At 45.6% G+C, this 19,702-nt stretch overlaps 6 annotated features.

Moving 5' to 3' along the window:
* Window positions 4,615-5,116: an enhancer, noted in NCBI's record as "H3K4me1 hESC enhancer chr6:106582157-106582658 (GRCh37/hg19 assembly coordinates)". NCBI's record gives its function as "activates a minimal SCP1, AML or CMV promoter by ChIP-STARR-seq in primed H9 embryonic stem cells {active_cell/tissue: H9 hESC(primed)}" and the evidence as "EXISTENCE:reporter gene assay evidence [ECO:0000049][PMID:30033119]".
* Window positions 4,615-6,194: a biological region, named in NCBI's record as "BRD4-independent group 4 enhancer GRCh37_chr6:106582537-106583736".
* Window positions 4,995-6,194: an enhancer, noted in NCBI's record as "BRD4-independent group 4 enhancer chr6:106582537-106583736 (GRCh37/hg19 assembly coordinates)". NCBI's record gives its function as "activates an origin of replication core promoter dependent on BRD2, P300/CBP, MED14 and CDK7 cofactors, and independent of BRD4, by STARR-seq in HCT116 cells {active_cell/tissue: HCT116}" and the evidence as "EXISTENCE:reporter gene assay evidence [ECO:0000049][PMID:35650434]".
* Window positions 5,117-5,616: an enhancer, noted in NCBI's record as "H3K4me1 hESC enhancer chr6:106582659-106583158 (GRCh37/hg19 assembly coordinates)". NCBI's record gives its function as "activates a minimal SCP1, AML or CMV promoter by ChIP-STARR-seq in primed H9 embryonic stem cells {active_cell/tissue: H9 hESC(primed)}" and the evidence as "EXISTENCE:reporter gene assay evidence [ECO:0000049][PMID:30033119]".
* Window positions 12,112-12,161: an enhancer, noted in NCBI's record as "active region_24878". NCBI's record gives its function as "activates an Ori minimal core promoter by ATAC-STARR-seq in GM12878 lymphoblastoid cells {active_cell/tissue: GM12878}" and the evidence as "EXISTENCE:reporter gene assay evidence [ECO:0000049][PMID:35858748]".
* Window positions 13,907-14,201: a silencer, noted in NCBI's record as "tiled region #9287; HepG2 Repressive non-DNase unmatched - State 22:ReprW, and K562 Repressive non-DNase unmatched - State 7:EnhWF". NCBI's record gives its function as "represses a minimal TATA promoter and a strong SV40 promoter by Sharpr-MPRA in HepG2 and K562 cells {active_cell/tissue: HepG2 | K562}" and the evidence as "EXISTENCE:reporter gene assay evidence [ECO:0000049][PMID:27701403]".

A 19,702-nucleotide genomic window follows, 5' to 3' on the forward strand; every position in this document is an offset into this window, starting at 1 on the left:
GTTATTTTGCATACACGAAAAGCTTGGTAATCTCTTTGAAGGGCCTGGACTGTGTACAAAGATCCCTCCCTTTTTGCATAATGGTACTTTACTTCCTGGATTATAAAGATATTATTTTACTAGAGAGAAAGGAACTGGATTTGTGGCGCATATTTGTCCAATGATTTAAGTTAATTCCTCATGTTCAAAATGAAACTGTCAGTTATAAGCTGACCAAATGAAGCAATATATTTCAAACTCAACAGAATCTTTTTATTCACTCTACCAATCTACGTACATCCCAAATTCCAACATAATTACCACCCCAGGTGTTGGTTAAAGAGCACTTTTTAACTTCCTATGGTGGACATTTCTAAGCATCCACAAAAGTAGACAATAGCATAATGAACTTCCAGGTACCCAACCTTCAGCTTCAGCTGTTATCAATATTTTGTCAGTCTTAAACAGTATGCCTTAGTGTGCCTAAATGAAATTCCCTGTATTTTAATTATCCAGAAGGCTGGAAATATTTGGGCAGCCAGGCCTCCAACCATGAGGTATGATTAGAAAGATTTCAAAGGCTCTTCACCCCACAGATGATGCGTGCCACGAGGAGTGATATATTCTTGGTTCTCTCTCTCTGTTTCTCATACTCTCTCTGAAAACACAAATGCTCCTGCTGAGGGGGCATTACTGAAATTCCTAAAACCTTGTTAAGAGTTGGTTTTTATCAAATGATTTTGTTCTAGAACAGGAGACTTTGGAGGGACAGCCTAGCATCCTTGTATCCTGGGGATGAACAGGGCCCTGGAGGGAGAAAGGGAACAGTGTGATGTGAGATAGGAAAGCCAAATACACAGTGTTGTTTTGGCTTAGCCCTGGTAGTAATTCCTGTAAGAGACTGTCTGAGAAAAAAATTACATTTGGAACATTTTTATTTCAGTAATCAGGATTTGGGAGTCTTAGAAAGGATGAGGTAGAAAGCCCCTTTACCATATTTTTTAAAATAGCTTAAGTCCACATTATGTTTCAGCAGTGAGAATATATTTTGGAATTCAATTATGTAACAACAGGAAGTAGGATGGCTGGTTAGAAAGAGTTTTACTTTATTTTTTACTTTTCTTTTTTTCTTTCTTTCTTTCTTTTTTTTTTTTTTTTTTTTTTTGAGACGGAGTCTCACTCTTATCACCCAGGCTGGAATCGGCTCACTGCAATCTCGGTCTCCCAGGTTCAAGCGATTCTCCTGTCTCAGCCTCCCATGTAGTTGGCATTACAGGTGCAGGCCACCACACCTGGCTAATTTTTGTATTTTTAGCAGACACGGGGTTTCACCATCTTGGCCAGGCTGGTGTCGAACTCCTGACCTCAGGTGATCTGCCCGCCTCGGCCTCCCAAAGTGCTGGGATTACAGGCGTGAGCCACCGTGCCCAACCTAGTTTTTACTTTTCTGTTGATAAGATGTCATTCAACAGTTGCCAGCCAACATTCTTTTAGCAGCTGTGACACTGGTCCCTCAGCTTAGAAAGAATAATTTGAGTGGCACTTCTCACTTACATTCTGTAAGAAGAGAAGAGTATACCAGGACTTTTTTTTTTTTTTTTTTTTTTTGGCTTAACACATGTGGTTCTTCTCCATATGTTGGGAAGTCCCTGCAGCAGGGAGTGGGCACAGGCGCAGAACTGCCCGAGGAAGGAGATGGAGCTGTTGTTTGCTATTCTTGAGGTCCAATATTATAAGAGCATCCTTGATGGACCAATGTGGACCCGACTAAGGTCAGCTGATAGAAAGCATTTCAGAATTTGGCTGGGCGCGGTGGCTTGCGCCTATAATCCCAGCACTTTGGGAGGCCAAGTTGGGAGGATTGCTTGAACCCAGGAGTTTGCAACCAGCCTGGGCAACACAGTGAGACACCCATCTGTACAAAAAACTGAAAAATTAGCCAAGGCTGGTGGTGCACAACTATAGTCCCAGCTACTTGGAAGACTGAGGTGGGAGGATCACTTGAGCGTGGAAGCTCAAGGCTGCAGTGAGCTGTGATTGCACCCACTGTGCTCCAGCCTGAGCAACAGAGCAAGACCCTGTCTCAATCAATCAATAAGTAAAATAAAAAAGCATTTTGTGAAAATGCACCTGACCCAGCAGGTTGGTGCATGGTCTATGGTATCAGGTAAAATTCATAGGCAGGGTCCTGCAGTGAAGGCCTCTCGTGAAGCCTTCAGGGATGGCCTCAGGCCCCACACCCAGGCACTGTCCTCCAGCCCTTCCTCACCAGGTGCTTCTGAGCCCTGAACTGCTGGGCACGAAGTTGAAGAACCACTGATCACACAGCTTGGAAGAGCCCATCCACTTCTGATATTTTGTCACCAATCATCTCTGCCAAGAATTCCCTGGGCATGTTCGCTGTGCTGAGCCGTGTGGTGGGTCCTCCAGGGAGGTGACAACTCTGTCATCAAGGAGCATCACTCGAGGTGGAGAACAAGGGTTCGTGGAGACCTAAGGACAGGACTTCTCCAGCCCCTGTAAGCCTTCATCCTAGTTACCATGGAAACAGTGATTGTTTAATTATTTTCTCACCAGACAGTAGACTCCTGAGGGTAGGAAAGGTGTCTGCTTGTAGCCCCAAGGCCTAGGAAAGTGCAGGACACCTCAGCCTTCATTCCATGTCTGTGGAATGAACGATGGCCCATCGGCTGGCTTGAACAACGTATGGAATGATGAGATAAAAGAAAGAGAAGGAACCGGGCCAGCCTGACGAGGGCCGAGTCCCAGGAGTTTGGGATCTATCCTTCAGACCACAAAGGCTCATTGAAAGTTTCTAACCAGGGCAGTCACATGGAGCCTTCCACGTTTCTGGAAGAGGAATGTGCAGTGAGGCTGAGGGATGGGAAACAGGGAAATCTGACACAAGGTGGCCCGTGGGAAGCTACTCCAGTAGCAAAGGTCGAGACCTGGAGCTCCTGCCCGACCCTCCCAAGGAACTGTCATGGAGCTGTGAGCCATACAGGTGGGGGTTTGGCCATTCAGCATTTGAAAGCATAACATACTGGAGCTGTTTATAATATAGTCAAAGAAATAGGGTCGCACAGACAGATTTGAGCAATGTTTATGTACATCCATGAGTGTCTATGCACGTCCACCTGGAGTTAAGGAAAACATTGTCTGGCCATATATTCCTTCCTGGTAACTCTTTCAGGACTTCAAGGCATCATTTAGCTCCTGGAAGAGCTTATTTTCCAGACACACACTCCAGCAGCGCCCTAAGTTCATGGGCGCGCATCTTAGTCTCCTGGAATAATTTAGTTGCTCTGGCTCAACAGATGATTATTACAGTTATTATTAATGTTGGTTCTAATAATAGCAGTAGTCATAAACATGTTTCTTGGGGGCCACCACATTGATAGCAATTGAAGCCTAAAAGAACATAGTCCCCAGGGATCTGTAATACAAGCTAATCAAGCAGTTAGAAAGGAATTTTTTAAAACTTTCCCCCCTTAATCCCATCTTTATTGTGTGGGTGGAAATCACCACTTGAGAGATGAGCCTCAAGGCCATGATCTGGAGCGATTTCAAACAGGCTAAGGGGTGGCATTGTAGTCCCTGGAGCCCTGCCAAGTAATGGCTGGCATTTCACCCTAGACCAGCCCTTCCAATAGAAATAATGAGAACCACAGATGTAACTTCAAATTTTCTGGTAGCCACATTAAAAAAACTAAAAAGAGGCCGGTGGCTCACGCCTGTAATCCCAGCACTTGGGGAGGCCGAGACGGGTGGATCACCTGAGGTCGGGAGTTCAAGACCAGCCTGGCCAACATGATGAGACCCCATCTCTACTAAAAATACAAAAATTAGCTGGGTGTGGTGTCCCATGCCTGTAATCCCAGCTACTCAGGAGGCTGAGGCAGGGAGAATGGCTTGAACCCGGGAGGCAGAGGTTGCAGTGAGCGGAGACTGGGCCATTGCACTCCGGCCTGGGCGACAGAGCAAGACTCCATCTCAAAAAAAAGAAAAAAAGAAAAAACCAAAAAACTAAAAAGAAACAGGTGAAGTAGTCTTTTAAATATATTTTAGTTAACCCTATGTATTCCAAATATTATTATTTTGACATATAATTCACATAAAAATTGTTAATGGGGCTGGGCGAGGTGGCTCATGCCTGTAATCCCAGCACTTTGTGGGGCCGAGGCAGGTGGATCACCTGAGGTCAGCAGTTCGATACCAGCCTGGCCAACATGGTGAAACCCCATCTCTGCTAAAAATACAAAAATTAGCCAGGTGTGGTGGCACACACCTGTAATCCCAGCTACTCGGGAGGCTGGGGCAGGAGAATCGCTTGAACCTGGTGAGCTGAGATCGCACCACTGCACGCCAGCCTGGGCAACAAGAGTGAAACTCTGTCTCAAAAAACAATTTTTTTTAAAATAAAATTGTTTATGGGATATTTGAGATTCTCTTTGTTGTCACTGTTTCAGGTTTTAGAAATCTGGCGTGTATCTTCCATCTCAGCAAGTAGCTGCAGAACTGCACACGGGGCTCTCGGCTGCCACAGCTGACAGCACAGGGTGAGCTGCTCTGGGAAGGTGCTGGTGTGTCACTCACCGGGCACACTCACGGACCAGCTACCCAAGGAGGCAGTGACCACAGGACTGGAGTACTGGGAAGCAAAACAAGGGAGAAAGGCCAGTCCCCACCACTCCTGGTGCCTGCTAAGTGGGGTAAATGCCCTTCTTGTAGACGAGCGCCACAGCAGCCATGGAAGTGTTGGGATGGAGAGAGGAAAGGAAAGCATTGAAAGTCCTGTAAGGGTTCTGAGAGTCATAGATCCTGTAAGATGTCACTCATCTAAGTCATGCTCTTAGGACTCCGGGCAGTCAAGGAAGAGAAGCAACAAGCCCAGGCAGAACCAGGAGAGGAAGAGGAAATGAGGCAGGTGAGGGGATTTGCTCCACCCGGTCTGGCCTGGCGGGGAGGGACTGACGACTGCAGGGCTTCCTCAGAGACGATCCCTTCGGCTCAACAGGCTTGCCAAGGAAGGAAGGAGCCGCCACCCGCACTGGGAGATTCATCTGAGAGATGAAAGGAACGGAATGCCACAGGACAACCCTAGGGGAGGAGTGCACGACACTAGGGGCTTCGGAGGCACGAGGATGCGACATGAACAAGCCCACTCGCCGTCAGAGTCCCAGCGCCCTCTCTCCAGTGACCAGGCCCCCGTGGAGGGCCCAGTCCACCCTCCAGCTTTCATAAACTTTGAAATAACACAATGTAAAACAGTCTAAATTATGTCAGATGATTCTAAGTGATTAAATGTGACAAAGAGGTATGTCACCAGGGTGGCTGCCTGATTCCCCAATTCTCAGTATCACTGAAATGAATCAACGGAGAGACTCTGAGTAATGCCGGGCACGGCCACCACACTCAGGCTGCTGTTTCTTACAGAGACCTGGGATCTTTCCCAAATGTCACCGGTTCAGCCAGGGATCCTGACACAGGTAAAGTGTCGAATCACACCCAGCAACCACAAGATTTGCCTTCTGCTGCTTGGGGGTAATCTCCCTGTCAGAGGTGATAAGTGTGGAAGGATGCTTTAGAATTATGCCTTTTAAAATGAAAGTAGAGTTCCAGGGTCAGGAGGCGTTGACCGGGGGACAGAGAGACTGCGGGTCAAATGTGAGGCCATAAACTGTCAAGATGACACACGGTGCGGGCCTGGCAGGGCATGACTCATCAGGTTCTCCCAGTGCCAGTGGGACAAGTAGCACGCTCGGACAGCTGGGACGTTTGTTTTCAGGCCAATTTCTAAAGAAAGTTCTAGATAGTGGGGCTGGAAAGTGACCACGCGACCGACTTCTTCAGGACCTGATGGAGTCCCTCGAGTCATGCAGGGCTGGGGGTCTCGTACAAGGGCTCACCAGGGACATGTTAGTGACTTACCCTGCCCAGACCAGATTGCTTGGAAGCCACACATATGGTAAACAAACAGGAGAGAAATGTGTTCCTCCTGGGTCTGCCCCACTCATTTCCCTCCCACAGAGGAAACAGCCCACTCCTGGAGTTCAAAGCTTCCCAAAGTCCCGGAAGTTGAGACAATATGTAGGGGCTTAGTGGGCTCTCTCTGCTCTGATTCCAAAAGCCCAAACCCGGAAAACAGGTCGCCCCTTCCAGGGGGTGAAAAATGAAGTCTGAAGCTGGCAAGGAAAGAGCAGGCTTGGGAAGCCTTACTTCGGGAAACCTGGTTGACCCGACAATTATTTTTTATGACCTGGCATACGTTATGTTGATGGTTTCATTTCTGGTTATTACCTTCTATTAAAAAGCATCTTGAGTAAGATGATTACGGGGGCATCTTATTCCCGCCTCAGGAATCTACTCTGAAATTTTCAGAGAACTGTTGTTTTTCCTGGACATATTATTACTATCGTTGTTTTTGCTATGATTGTGATTACGTAAACTGCTAGTTGTTAAATAGCTCTTTTTATTTGTCATTGCTCACAATCCCATTGCTTTGAGATAAAGAGATATGAGGTAGATACCCATATAGGGCACAGAGAGGTCAAGCACTCCCATAAGGTCCCTCCAAGGGCCAGGGATGTCAGAGGTGTTCCTCTCCTCCCCCTCCCCAGCCATCTTACCAGGACCAGTATGGGGCACAGTGAGTGAGCAAACACACAGGAACGACACGCCCAGAGCGAGGCCAGCCCTGCTCCCATGCACCAGGCCGAGCTGGTGCTGAAGTTCTGCCATGGGTCCTTGGTGCTCTTAACTTTAGGGGTCTGCCGAGTGGGGATTCTAGTGACAGGCACGATGGCTTGGGTTAGCTGCATCCCGAAATGAAGAGTCAGCACTGGGAACCACGAATGTGCCTGAATCTTAACTTGCAATGAAAACCCTGTGGGTCAGGCCGGGTGCGGTGGCTCACGCCTGTAATCCCAGCACTTTGGGAGGCTGAGGTGGGTGGATCACGAGGTCAGGAGATCGAGACCATCCTGACTAACACAGTGAAACCCCCATCTCTACTAAAAATACAAAAAAAAAAAAAAAATTAGCCAGGCGTGGTGGCGGGCACCTGTAGTCCCAGCTACTCGGGAGGCTGAGGCAGGAGAATGGCGTGAACCCAGGAGGTGGAGGTTGCAGTGAGCCGAGATCGTGCCACTGCACTCCAGCCTGGGTGACAGAGTGAGACTCTGTCTCAAAAAAAAAAAAAAAAAGAAAACCCTGTGGGTCATGGCCCCGCAGCTCTCCCACCATCACCTCATTCAACTCAGTGTCTGAGACCAAATGCATTGTCTTTACCCCCAAGCCAAAGCTTGGTATCTGTTCAATTCCATCAGTGGCATCTCTCAGTCACTCAGGAGGAAAAAAACCCTCCGAATTATTTTTAAATAAATTTAATTTAAAAATTATTTATTAAATTATTTAAAAATAATTATTGAAAAAAGGCAGAAGCTTATAGAGTAACAAGTAAAAATGTCTTCCCCTCCCCGCTGCAACTCTCCATCTCACTCCTCAGGAGCAATCACTGTTAACAGTTTGATGTGTACGATTAAAGACTTTTTTCTACGCACTAACCAAGACATATTTTCTTGTTATTATCTTTGGCCTTACTCTTGCCTTCCTTCTAATATCCAGTCATCAACTCCCACTAATTTTTCCTTTATGTTTTTCATGTCTGTCCAATCTTTTTAGACCCCACCCCAAATTCTTATCACCTTAAACTTAGAATATCAGCTCTGCATAGAGAAATAGCAAGCGGGTTTGGAACCGATGACTCAGGTTTAACTCTTGGTTTCTCCACTTAGGCAAATGACACCTTCTTTGTGCCTCAGTTTCTTTATCTGCTCAAAAGGGATAACAATATCTACCGTTTGAGGTTGATGAAAATAAATAAAGGATCAGCATGTAGTAGGTGCTTAAATAATGTCTGCAATTACTATTTTCTTTTAAGTGGCCTCAGGAACATCCACTTCAGTTCCCTCCGAGTTATATTGCATACCATGGTCAGATTAATCTTTCTTAAAACACTGCCTTTATTGTGACAGTCCCTTGCTCAAAATCCTGAAAGGCTTCCTAACGTTTATAGTACAATGAGAAACAGTCTTTACCTCACTCATCAACTCCAGTTGATTGGTAGTGCCTGCCTGAGAGGTGCCACTGGGCCTGGTGGCAGAGAAGGCAAGGTTAGATTAGCAATGTCTTTACAGGAGCACAGGTAAAGTAGCAGCAACTGCAGCCTATAGCACAAAGTCCAGCATTACTTCACCTCCTCTACCTCCCTAGAGGATGCCTTTCTTATTGGTGTCTTTCTCTCCCTGTGGACTGCTTTCCTCCTGATCTGCCACATACACCACAGACCCTCTGCCAGTGGAACTCTCCCTCCAGATATTGCCACAGCTGGCTCACTTTCCAGCATCCAGCGCTCAAATGCTACCCCTGCAGAGGCCAAGCATTCTCCATCATGTTGCTGTTTATTTCCTTCACAGCACTTCATCTCTGTCTGAAGGGATCCTGTTTATTTACTCAGTTTCATGTTCATCGTCCTTCTCTGCCACAGACAATGTCTGAGCCCCCGAAGATAGGAACTTCCTCTTGTTCAGCAGCCTGTCCCTAGAGCCTAGACCATGGGCTGGCACCAGTAGGAGCTCAGGGTCTTGCTTCTTACAGTTCTCTTGCATAGTGGGTGCTTCTCTGATGACTGAATCGGGACTTCCCAAGCAGAGAGTGACTTGAAGCCAGTCTAGGTATCGGCCACATGTAGTCCAGACTGGCATATAGAATGTGCTCACTAAAACCTGGACTGGCTGATTGCTGAGGCCTTCAGCGGGAATTTTACAAAAGCACTTGGGCATGTGAATTGCACAACAGGTGCTCAAAGGCTATAGGCCACGCCTGTGTCCAACCTGTCTCATTATAGACTACTTTACATGCACTCTTGCTGGCGATTTCTCTCTGGACCTTCTCCTTGGTAATTTTCCTAAAATCACATGTTCCCAAAGCCACCCTGGTGATGTACTAGTTATCTGGGCCGTTTGCTTCTTGACTGCAGTATTATGGTTGTCTATTTTCTGTCTTAGCATCATGTGTCTGCCAGAATGAAAGCCCCTAAAGGGCTTAGAATGTTGAAGTCCACTCTGGAAATGAATAACATGGCCCTCAGAGAATCATGCAAAACAGAAGCAATCGGTGAGACGGAGCTCAATCTTTTTTTTTGCCAATGTGGATGGATTTCCAAGGAATAAATGATTAAAGATTATTAATTTTCCTGTGTTTGAATATATTTTCATTAGTCTTTTTCTACTTCCAGACATATTGTTTTCATTGAAGTTTTTTGTTGTTAATTTATGTCTGAGATCACATAACATAAACACTGAGGAGCACATTATGAAAGAAAAAAAGATTTCATATTCTACCACCCTAACACTATTCATTTTTTTCCTGTTTCTTTCCCATCTTTCTGTATCTGTGTGTATATATGTGTGTATATATACATACATATATGTATACATTTGTATACATATTTTATATATTTATAAATATATTTATATATAGAAATATATATTTAAAAATATATATATATACACACACACACACATTTTTTTTTTTCTTTTTCCGAGACAGAGTGTCACTCTGTCGCCCAGGCTGGAGTGCAGTGGCATGATCTCGGCTCACTGCAACCTCCACCTCCCAGGTTCAAGCAATTCTCCTGCTTCAGCCTCCCGAGTAGCTGGGATTACAGGTGCATGCCACCATGTTCAGCTAATTTTTGTAATTTTAGTACAGACAGGGTTTCACCATGTTAGCCAGGCTGGTCTTGAACTCCTGACCTCTTGATCCGCCCCCCCCTCGGCCTCCCTAAGTGCTGGGATTACAGGTGTGAGCCACCGTGCCCAGCCTATATATGCATATTTTTCACGAGTGATAATCAGGCTTGCTTAAGAAAAACATTTTTACTGCTAAGTCCAATAATAATAAATGTAAGAAAGCACCAAATATTCTTAGTTTTTATAATAATATGTTTCTTTTTTCAGATGCCTGATTTTAATTACCAGGTCTTGAGAAAAATTCAGAGGTATAAAATATCAGGGGAAAAAAAAAGAATAGAAATGCCTGGTAAAGGATGCCTATACCTTTACAGAAAGACATCTACTCGTTCCTACTTTAAATAGGTTCCCATGGGTTGCAAAAAATAAAATGCTTCCCTTTGTCCCAACTCCCATAGAATTGGCTTTCATGGGCTTCGAATACCCAAACTATATACAGTCAACTCTCATTATTTGCAGATTTTGTATTTGCAAATTTATCTACTCACTAAACTTTATAACCCCCAAATCAACACTCATGAAGCATTTGCAGTCATCTGCAGACATGCACAGATGCAGAGCAGCACATTCGAGTCACCTAATATGCACATTCCCAGCTGAGGTTGAACAAGGTGACACTTTGCCTTCTTGTCGCAGCACTCATGCTGTAAACAAGTGACTTTCCGCAGTCTATTCAAAGCCATGTTTTTTTCCTCTTTATGTATTTTGTTAGTGATTTCACCATTTACAATGACCTCCGAGTGTAGTGCGGAGGTGCATCTCATGTTCCTAAGTGCAAGAAGGCTGTGATATACCTTGTGGAGAAAATCCATGGGCTAGATAAGCTTCCTTCGGGCATGAATGGTGCTGTTGGCTGTGAGTTCTATGTTAACAAAATCAACAATATGTATAAAATTAGGGATCTTTAAACAGAAACACACATGGCACAAGGTTATATATTGATCAGTTGATGAAAATGTTGTGACCAGGGCTCTCAGGAACTTAACCATATGTTTCCCTGGAGTGATGGTTCAGAATTTGTTAATTCAGTGTCCCAAGTGAGTTTATAGAATAACCACCACGAATAATGAGAAGCAACGGCACAAACTTTGTGTACACAGGCATTTTTTGAGAGAGAGAGAGAGCTATAATATTTATCAAATTCTCAAGGGGGTAACTGAAAAATGTTCAACCATTACTTCAGAACTTCTATTATGAGACAAATAGTGCTGGTCCTCTTGAGAAACCAAGGGAGTGGGCTCAGCTCAGTGACTGTCTGGATCAGCCCAGAAACAATGTAGGCTGCCATCTTGATCTGTGCTTTTCCCCAGGGACATGAGCAAGGGCACTTCTAGGCCAAGCAAAATCAATCGTGTTTCATAGATTTGGATTTAGAGGGCGCTCTAAACCAGCTCAGAGGAATGGTATGTTTTAGAATCCTAGGGAAATTGAGTTCTCCAATCATCACTTCAGTCAGCTAGGAAAGATACACTTTTGGCAGGGTGCGGTGGCTCACGCCTGTAATCCCAGCACTTTGGGAGGTCGATCACAAGGTCCGGAGTTCAAGACCAGCCTGGCCAATATGGTGAAACCCTGTCTCTACTAAAAAATACAAAAATTAGCCAGGTGTAGTGGCATGTGCTTGTAGTCCCAGCTACTTGGGAGGCTGAGGCAGGAGAGTCGCTGGAACCAGGGAGGCGGAGTTGCAGTGAGCCGAGATTGTGCCACACTCCAGCCTGGGCAACAGAGCGAGACTCTGTCTCAAAAAAATAAATAAATAAAAAAGATATCCTTTTAATAAAGAAAAAAAAACAACACATAAAACTTAAGAGTGTAATAATAGCTGCTGTTCATTGAATGCTTACCAGGAACTAGTATGATCATAAGGAACTCTTACAATCACCCTGAGAGGGAGGGCATGGCAAGCCCTAATTAATGGATGAAGAAACTAAGGCTCAAAGAGGTCAAGCCACTTTTCCAGGCAACATGGCTACGGTGGGAGGTGGGGCTGAGGTCAGAGCTCGGGTCTGCATGACTTCAAAGGCTCTACTCCTAACCACTAGACTAAACTTAAGCTGCACAGGCAGGGCGATGACTGGCTCTTCACCTTGGCTCTCCACCCAAGTCCTTTAACCATTGGGAGTGTGTTCAAGGTGATTCACTTAACTAACATCTGTTCTACGTACCCTTCTCAGAAGCCCATCGGCTAAGGTGGAGAGAGCTGACTGTACACTCCAGGGTGATGAACTCTAATTCTTTGGCTCTTCTTATATCTTAGCAGGTGGCAAATTCTAGGAGTTCCTAAAAATAGGTTGCAAATTCTAGGAGCTTCTAAAAATAGTGCTGGGACTTCAGCTTTGCTAGAGAAGGGATTATTCTGACCTTTCGTCTCAGGGGCCCCCCGCCCCGCATCCTGAGGGTGACAATTTCACTGCTTTGCATGACATTTGGTTTCTCTCACATGTGGCTGGTCGGATTATACTTTACAGGAAGTCAGAGAGAACCTCTAACCTCTGCCTGGGCTATTTATTGCTTTTCATTCTCTTTCTCTTCTACTCCTCACCCTCCCTTTGACTTCTTAAGTCTTTGAGACGCTTTTGAAACCCCCTACTAGTAGCCACATTTAGGGTGTGCTGGTGTACTGAGGAGGGAAGGGTGGTCAGGTGACAAGGGCCTGACCTGCTCACTCAGCCTGGTATCACTGTCTGCTCTTCCCCCCACTTCAGAAGTAGAATCACCCCATGATCAAGTCCCAGCTCTTTGAGGGAGGTGCTGCCTTGAAGAAAGTCACTTAATAGTACCATGCCTCCCTGTCCAATCTATAAAAATGAGGCGATCACACTTACCTACCAGGCAGAGGTGTTGTGAGGATTAATTATAGCCCTCAGGGCTTTGAGAGACGGCCAGATGAAAGGCTTTCTATAGCTAAGTTCCATCCTGGGCATGACTCTTCAGCTCTCAGCTTCCCTGCCAGTCACACTCTTCCAAAGTCACTCCTCAGGGGAGAGGAATGGCCTCACGTTGATGAGGTAGGATGTAAAATAGGAACAATATGCAGAACTGAGTCCAAAAGCCTTAATGTGGATTACTGAGAGCTGCACTCTCTGTGAATAGGAAGTGCAAGTTCAATGCGTAGTTGGTGGGGTCCTTGGAGGCACAGCAAGGTGAAGCCAAACAAAGGCACAATTGCCCACACCAGACCTTTCCTGTGGGTGGGAAGGGTTGCAGAAAGCCTTTTGTTCCAGCATCTATGCCTTTATGCTTATAAAGTTAGAAGGACTCAAGCAGCATGTGTAAGTGGATTTGGATGGAAGTGGAAATGGTGTTGAGGAGTTCAAATTACGGGCAGCTAAAGCAACTAAACCAGTCTCTCTGCCTGCTAAGAATCCCTGGCTTTCTCCATCCTGAGCTGGGGGTGGCAGGGTCACACACAGACACGCACATACATCCTGCCCTTCCAGCAGCAAATCTCCTCTGGGTGCTTCCTTTCTTGCACCAAGGGGACTGTCCCTGGCAACAAATGCCCAACCAGAACTCAAAATGCAGAAAAGCAGCACCAGCACTCCTGCCTTCCTAACATCTCTTAAGCAATTCTTTCAGGCTTACAAGAGATCCTGAAATATTTTCTGTTTCCATTTGGCCCTCTGACTGACTGAGAGGGTTGATGCCATTAGAGAGATTCCAATGGGATTATGGTCCCTAAATACCAGAGGTGGGAAGCATGAGCTTTGGAGCCAGGAAGACCATTCAAATCCCAGGCCTATCGTGCTCTAGCTGTGTGTCCTTGGACAAGCCACTTAACCTCTCTGTGCCTTAGTTTCCTCTTCTGTAAAATTGAGCTCCTATGTGGATATAAGAGTGAAATGAGAGACTGTATGTAATAGGGCCTGGCACAGAAAGCACACAATTCACATTAGCTATGCTGAGAAAGGCAGAGTGGGAGGTAGGTGACAGGTGAGGATTCTAGTCTGGGGAGGCTAATTTTCTTTTCTTTTTTAAATCGCTGCGCCATGTGAATTATGCTATCCCCATGCCAGAAAACCCCAAAGAGGGTTTTGGCTGTGCTGGAGCACACCCGGTTCACTTTCCCCTCGACCAGTGGGTCTGGCACATCTGGCTGGGTCCGCCTGGCTGGTGGTATTTCACCCCGGATGCTGTCTTTCCTCTGCTTTCTCTACACCCTAGAATTCTTCAGGAATAAAGTATCTCCTCACAAGAAAGTGAAAAGAATCAAATTTCCTGGCTCTGCTACCTCACCTTGCCCCTGTGAGCCGGGCGGTGGCCCCACTGTGCCAGCGCAGCAGTGGGAGCCCCAGGGGCTGCTCTGAACTGCCTGGGAGGGGTAAGAGAGGGCGGAACGCGGGGCCGTGCCTGGGGCTGCTCTGCTGCAGGGTTCCACTCCAGGCCACGGTAGCATTGTGGATGCGCGTTTGAACTTTGATGTATTTTGAAGCTGCAATTTTCAAATGTAACCACACCATAAACTTACTACTTAAAAAAAGAAATCTCACAGCACCTAGGCCACAGCACTAGGCCGCAGATCTTAGTCAAAAGAATGCACAGTGTGTGGTGTTAGCAGGGACACGGCAAGATTTCATGGTCACTGAGAAGCCCTTGAAATGGGTTCTGAGGCAATGAAGGTTGTCCTCACAGCAGCAGTGGTCCCCCACCAAGAGAGGCTGTTCCCCCACCCTCCCATCCCCCTGGCTGTAGGCTCAGGCCAACCATCCCTCCCACCCCCAGGCCCCACAGCTTCACTCTTAGGGGTTTAGACCTAGAACAAAATTGTAGATCTGTTGAAATATTCCTTTTTGGGGACTAAAATGGGAGAAGACAACCAGCAATGTCTAAACCTTCAAGTGAGTCCCCAGTGAAAGACTATCGATCCAAGAGAGAGTTTTGGGAAGAGAAATGCAGTGCCCCATACTTATATAAATGCTCACATGTTATATGTACATGTGAGCCTCAGATAGGCAGATTGGTAGATAGCTCTCTGTGTGTGTGTGTGTGTGTATATATATATATATATATATATATAATAATGATTTATTTTCTGATTACTTCTTTTTTTTTTTGAGACAGGGTCTGTTGCCCAGGCTGGAGTGCAGTGGCGTGATCTCAGCTCACTGCAACCTCTGCCTCCTGGGTTCAAGTGATTCTCCTGCCTCAGCCTCCCGAGTAGCTGAGATTACAGGTGTTTGCCACCACGCCCAGAAAATTTTCGTATTTTTAGTAGAGATGAGGTTTTGCCATGGTGGCCAGGCTGGTCTCAAGCTCCTGACCTCAGGTGATCTCCCTGCCTCGGCCTCCCAAAGTGCTAGGATTACAGGCGTGAGCCACTGCACCCGGACCCGTTTTCTGATTCCTTCTATAATTTATTTCAGAAGAAAATTTGGAAAACATTCAATGAAGAAAATTTGGAAAATACAGAAAAGCACAAAAGACGTGAAACCCCCTGGAACCTTCCCATCTAGCAGTAGAGATCCAGAGGCTGAATGGTGGCTGGCTGTTGAGCCAGAAGCCCTGCAGGAGGGTGGGAGAAGCATGCAGCAAGCCTCACCCCTTTACTGGCTCTGGCATCAATGACCAGTAATTGGACTTTTCTGGCCCACAGTTTCATCATCTGTGGAGGGGGGATATTACACAGACGGATTCTAGGGTCTTATCGGCCCAAGCATTTGAGAGAGTGTCAGATTCCAGGATAACAAGCCTGAAACAAGACATGGAGAACTCCTCAATGCTAGCCAGTGGCTAAAGGAGCTTCAGGTCAGATGTCCATGCAGAGACCATGGGGTTTCTGAAAGTGTCTGCTTTGCTAGAACATATTAAGAAGCTGTTTAACGTATCTTTGCACATCCTGCCAGGTGTCTGGAGTCTGTTGCAGTCACCTCATATGTCAGAGGGCACTGTTCAGCCCGGGGCTCGGGCGAGCTGGAGTGAACTCTGGCCTTGCCACTAGATTCTAGAGCCCCTGGGGCCTTATACAAGGCTCATCATGTCCCTGACCCTCAGGTTTCCCATCTGCAAAATGGGGAAAATAACATCTGCCTTCCCCAGCTGACAGAGTTGCTATATCAAAGGAACAAATATACATAGAGGCATCTATAAGAAAATATCAAGCCCCCAAAACATGTAAAAGAGATCCTTGCAGAAGTGAATCCATCCTCATGGAATTTTACTAAATGAAAAGTGGGGCTTCATTTCAGGTTGCATGCTGTCCTCAGACAGAGATGGCAGTCTTATCACCATCAGCGAGCACTCAAGTAAACATCAGTGAACTTACTAAACAGGTGAATGGGAAATAGAGAGGCAGTTTCAAACCCTGGCTTTCGGTAAATGTTAGCCTTACAGCCACAAAGTAGGCAGTGCTTTGACAGCAGGTGGGAGATGAGGAGAGAAGGTTTCCTGGCCCTTCACCTTGGTCACTGACTCAGTGTGAAACAGCGCCTGCAGGGAGGAGGGGAGTTCTCATCCTGGTTCTCAAATCAGCCTGCAGCCACAGTGGGAGCAGTGAGCCGAGTTCAGGGCTGAGGATGACTAAACAGCCTCCTCATCATTAATAACAATAATACTTGGCATTTATCTGGTTCTTTATGTTTTCAAAGTGCTTTACAATCATTAATTAGTTAACTAGCATGCACCACCACCCCGACGTCTGCCTGCTGTGCTGAGCAGACAAAAGAGCCCGGTGGGACCTGCCTGTCTGCCCGGGGATTGCAGAGCTGGGGGAAAGTGAAGGCTGGGGTGTGTGGGGAGGGGAGTCAGTATTAACATCAAGGACCAAATTCGGAAGGAGATAGTTACAAGTCCGTGCCAATAGACATGGGTGTGCATGTTCCTTGAGAAAGGATGTCAGGCACACAGGCAGGGACCTGGTCAACCTTTGGAGAGCTGGCTTCCATTCTGAGTGGGTAAGGATGCTGCCTTACAGGGGGCTTAGCATTCCCGTAAAAACTGACTGCTCTGGTCCCTGCCTAGAAAAGTAATATAGGACATTGGTTGCAACTGTGCCCTGAACAGCTGGCTTCAAACCATGGTAGAAGATAAATTCCCCTGCTCTTTGGAATGCTGGTGTATTTTTGGTGCTGTTTTTCTAAACTATAGGGTTCTGCACACGGCTGAGATCCAAACCTGTTGGAACTGTTTGTCTAACTTGCACTGGATACATAGAGATTAAATTCACTGCAAAGGGTTAAACACACGATGTCTCCTGGACACTCACTAGTGATGTTGATGCTGATGCTGATGCTGATGGAGATGGCGATTGGTCAACTGAGGTGAGCTTTCCCTCCTTCGCCTGTCTCCCAAGCTTTAAAATGGCAGGATACAATACAACTAAGCAATTTGGCCTAGGTGAGGTAGCAGAGCCCACAAACAAGTGTATTAAATGAAACTGGACATACTGATTGTCACTACCTAGTTACATGGAAATCTGATAGCTATTGTACTTAGAGAGTAGAGAAACCAAAGTCATAAGCCAAATAAGTGACCAGAAGAAAGCGATTAGTCATCTTTCTTCATGAGTGATCACAATGCCTCTGAAGCTTCTCCAGCTGCAACTTGCAATTTAGGGCCCTGTCTAATGACAGGGTGAGTTCCTCTTATTGATCTCCAGGCTTCTTGGGTAAATTAAATGGCAGGTACACAAAGAGGTGAGGGACAGGAGTGTGGCAGCAGCTTCAGAACTCTTGCTCTGTTAGCATGAGGTTCTAACAAAGCCATAGGTACCTGGGCTGCCCCACATCCCCAGAGCCAAGGCTTTGGAGCCAGTTGCCTTCTCCGGGTGAGGCATGCACCCTCTGCTGAGTCACCTTGATGTATGGCCCTCCTCATGGCTGTATCTGTCAGATCTCAGGAACTAAAAGCAAGAGGAGGGCTTGGTTTAAACTTGGCTGGAAGACCCAGGAATGATAATAATAATTAACACAGCTCAACTTCCACTTGCGCTATAAACAATAATTAATGTACACAGTGGCCCACTGAGACATCTAAGTTTGGATTATGAGTCTTGTTTTGCAGACAGGGAAACTGAGGCCAGGAGGTTAACTGACTTGTAAAGGCCACACAGGGACTCAGTATTATACCTGAAATTAAAATCTGGGCTTCCCTGCCTTCTGATCTGAGACTTGGATCACATCTGTCTGTCAACAAAGACTTAAGAACAACAACGACTTAAGAACAACAACAAAGTTATGCACACTCACCACAAAAGACATTTCTGCAGGAGTTCAGGAAAAAGTGATAGGTGAGGTGTGGCATTGGCCTCCCAGTCCAGACCAAGCCAATCACCCACTGCTAGTGGGCAAACTCTAAACCAGACACGAATTGGCAGTGCTGTGTCTTATCTATGTGGCAAATAAAATATTCCTAATAACTGCAATTTAAATGTAAATGTAATCAGCCTGCTTCCTTCATTTCTTTGCCTCTTTCATTTTTGTGGTTTGATCTAAGGAGCTGGTAGGACTAGTTTACTGTCCAAACTATTTACACACTAAGAACTGAAGATGTTTTCCCCACGTCTCAAATACTACATAGCAATCAGCTTGCCTGTGTTTACCTTGTCCAATTGTTGTTTGAGTATTAAGACACTTGCATTAACTTAAATCTCCAAATATTGCTTGTACACTCATTTAAAACAGCTTCACTTGAACTATCACACTCATATTCTAATATATCTAATAATTCATAAATTCCAGCGTAAAATAAAATACAATTGCCAAGTCAATTATTTTTTCCAGGAAGACAATTTTTAGTGCAGTTCTTAAAAAGGATAACCTTATTCTAGCCTCTTTTTGTTGTCAGTGACAGAAACTCCATTCAAACTGAATTAGATGGCGAATTCCAAAGTAGCTTCAGTATAGCTGTGAGCAAACGATGTCATTTGCACCCGAGTCTCTCCATCTTGATCTGGCATTGGCCTCAGTCAGGGCTCCTGTGTTGGGGTGAAGGTGGATACTTAAGTTCAGGCTGACTTCCTCCAGCAGAGCAACACCCAGCAGGTATAGAGCCCTTCTTTACTGATAGCACAAGCAAGAAGTCCTGGAAGTGATGGGCTGTCCCAAGGGACCTCATGCCCCTCTCTGAGGTCACTGTGAAAGGAGGATGTATCCCTCTTGTTTTCTAGGTTTAGGATGCATACTGGCCAGTAAAGGCAGGGTATGGGGGTGCCCCCCCAACCACTGGAATCAAGTATGCTGGAGAAATGGTTCCCCAAAAGAAAACTGGAGTATGTTTGCAAAAGACAGGAAAGGATTAAAGGCAAGTAAAAGCAGCAGATATCTACTACTGCAAGTGCAGGAATTTAAAAGTCAACATTTTACCATATGCATTAACAGAATATTCTTCTAAATGCTGTCTTCATTCCTACTCGTAAAACTTTGGTTTGGCCCTCAATACTATTGAAGAGTGACAATACCACTTTTAAGAATGTAAACTAACTCAGTTCCAACAGAACATGTGAGAATCGTAGAACAGAAAAAGAAAGTTGAAGTAGATATCAGATTCCCTACAAGCTACTGCTGGTCCTCCTCATCACCACTACCTTTTCCTAGCTACCCCTCACGGAAGCACTGGTCTACTGCTGTGTGGCTAGGATAGGTCTTCTCTCCTGGAAGGTTGTCTCATCCCATCTAGCCTTACACCTGGTGACTTAGAAAATAAAAGAAAAGAAACCTCTCATCAAAGGAGTTCTTTCCAGAATAAAAGGACAAATAAACTCCAATCGTTAATTTCCTTCTTCCCTAGAATGCCAAAATCAATCACAAGTCAAAAATGGAAGTTTCTCAATTTCAACCATATCAGGGCACGGACTCAACTTTCAGTAACAGGAAAACAACAACAAAATAAAATGACAGGCAACTTTGAAAATGGATGTACGGTTTCTGACACTGCAGAATGAAGGCAAAGAATGCATGCTTGTCAAGTCTGTA

Source organism: Homo sapiens, chromosome 6 (assembly GCF_000001405.40).
Source record: "Homo sapiens chromosome 6, GRCh38.p14 Primary Assembly".
Taxonomy (NCBI): domain Eukaryota; kingdom Metazoa; phylum Chordata; class Mammalia; order Primates; family Hominidae; genus Homo; species Homo sapiens.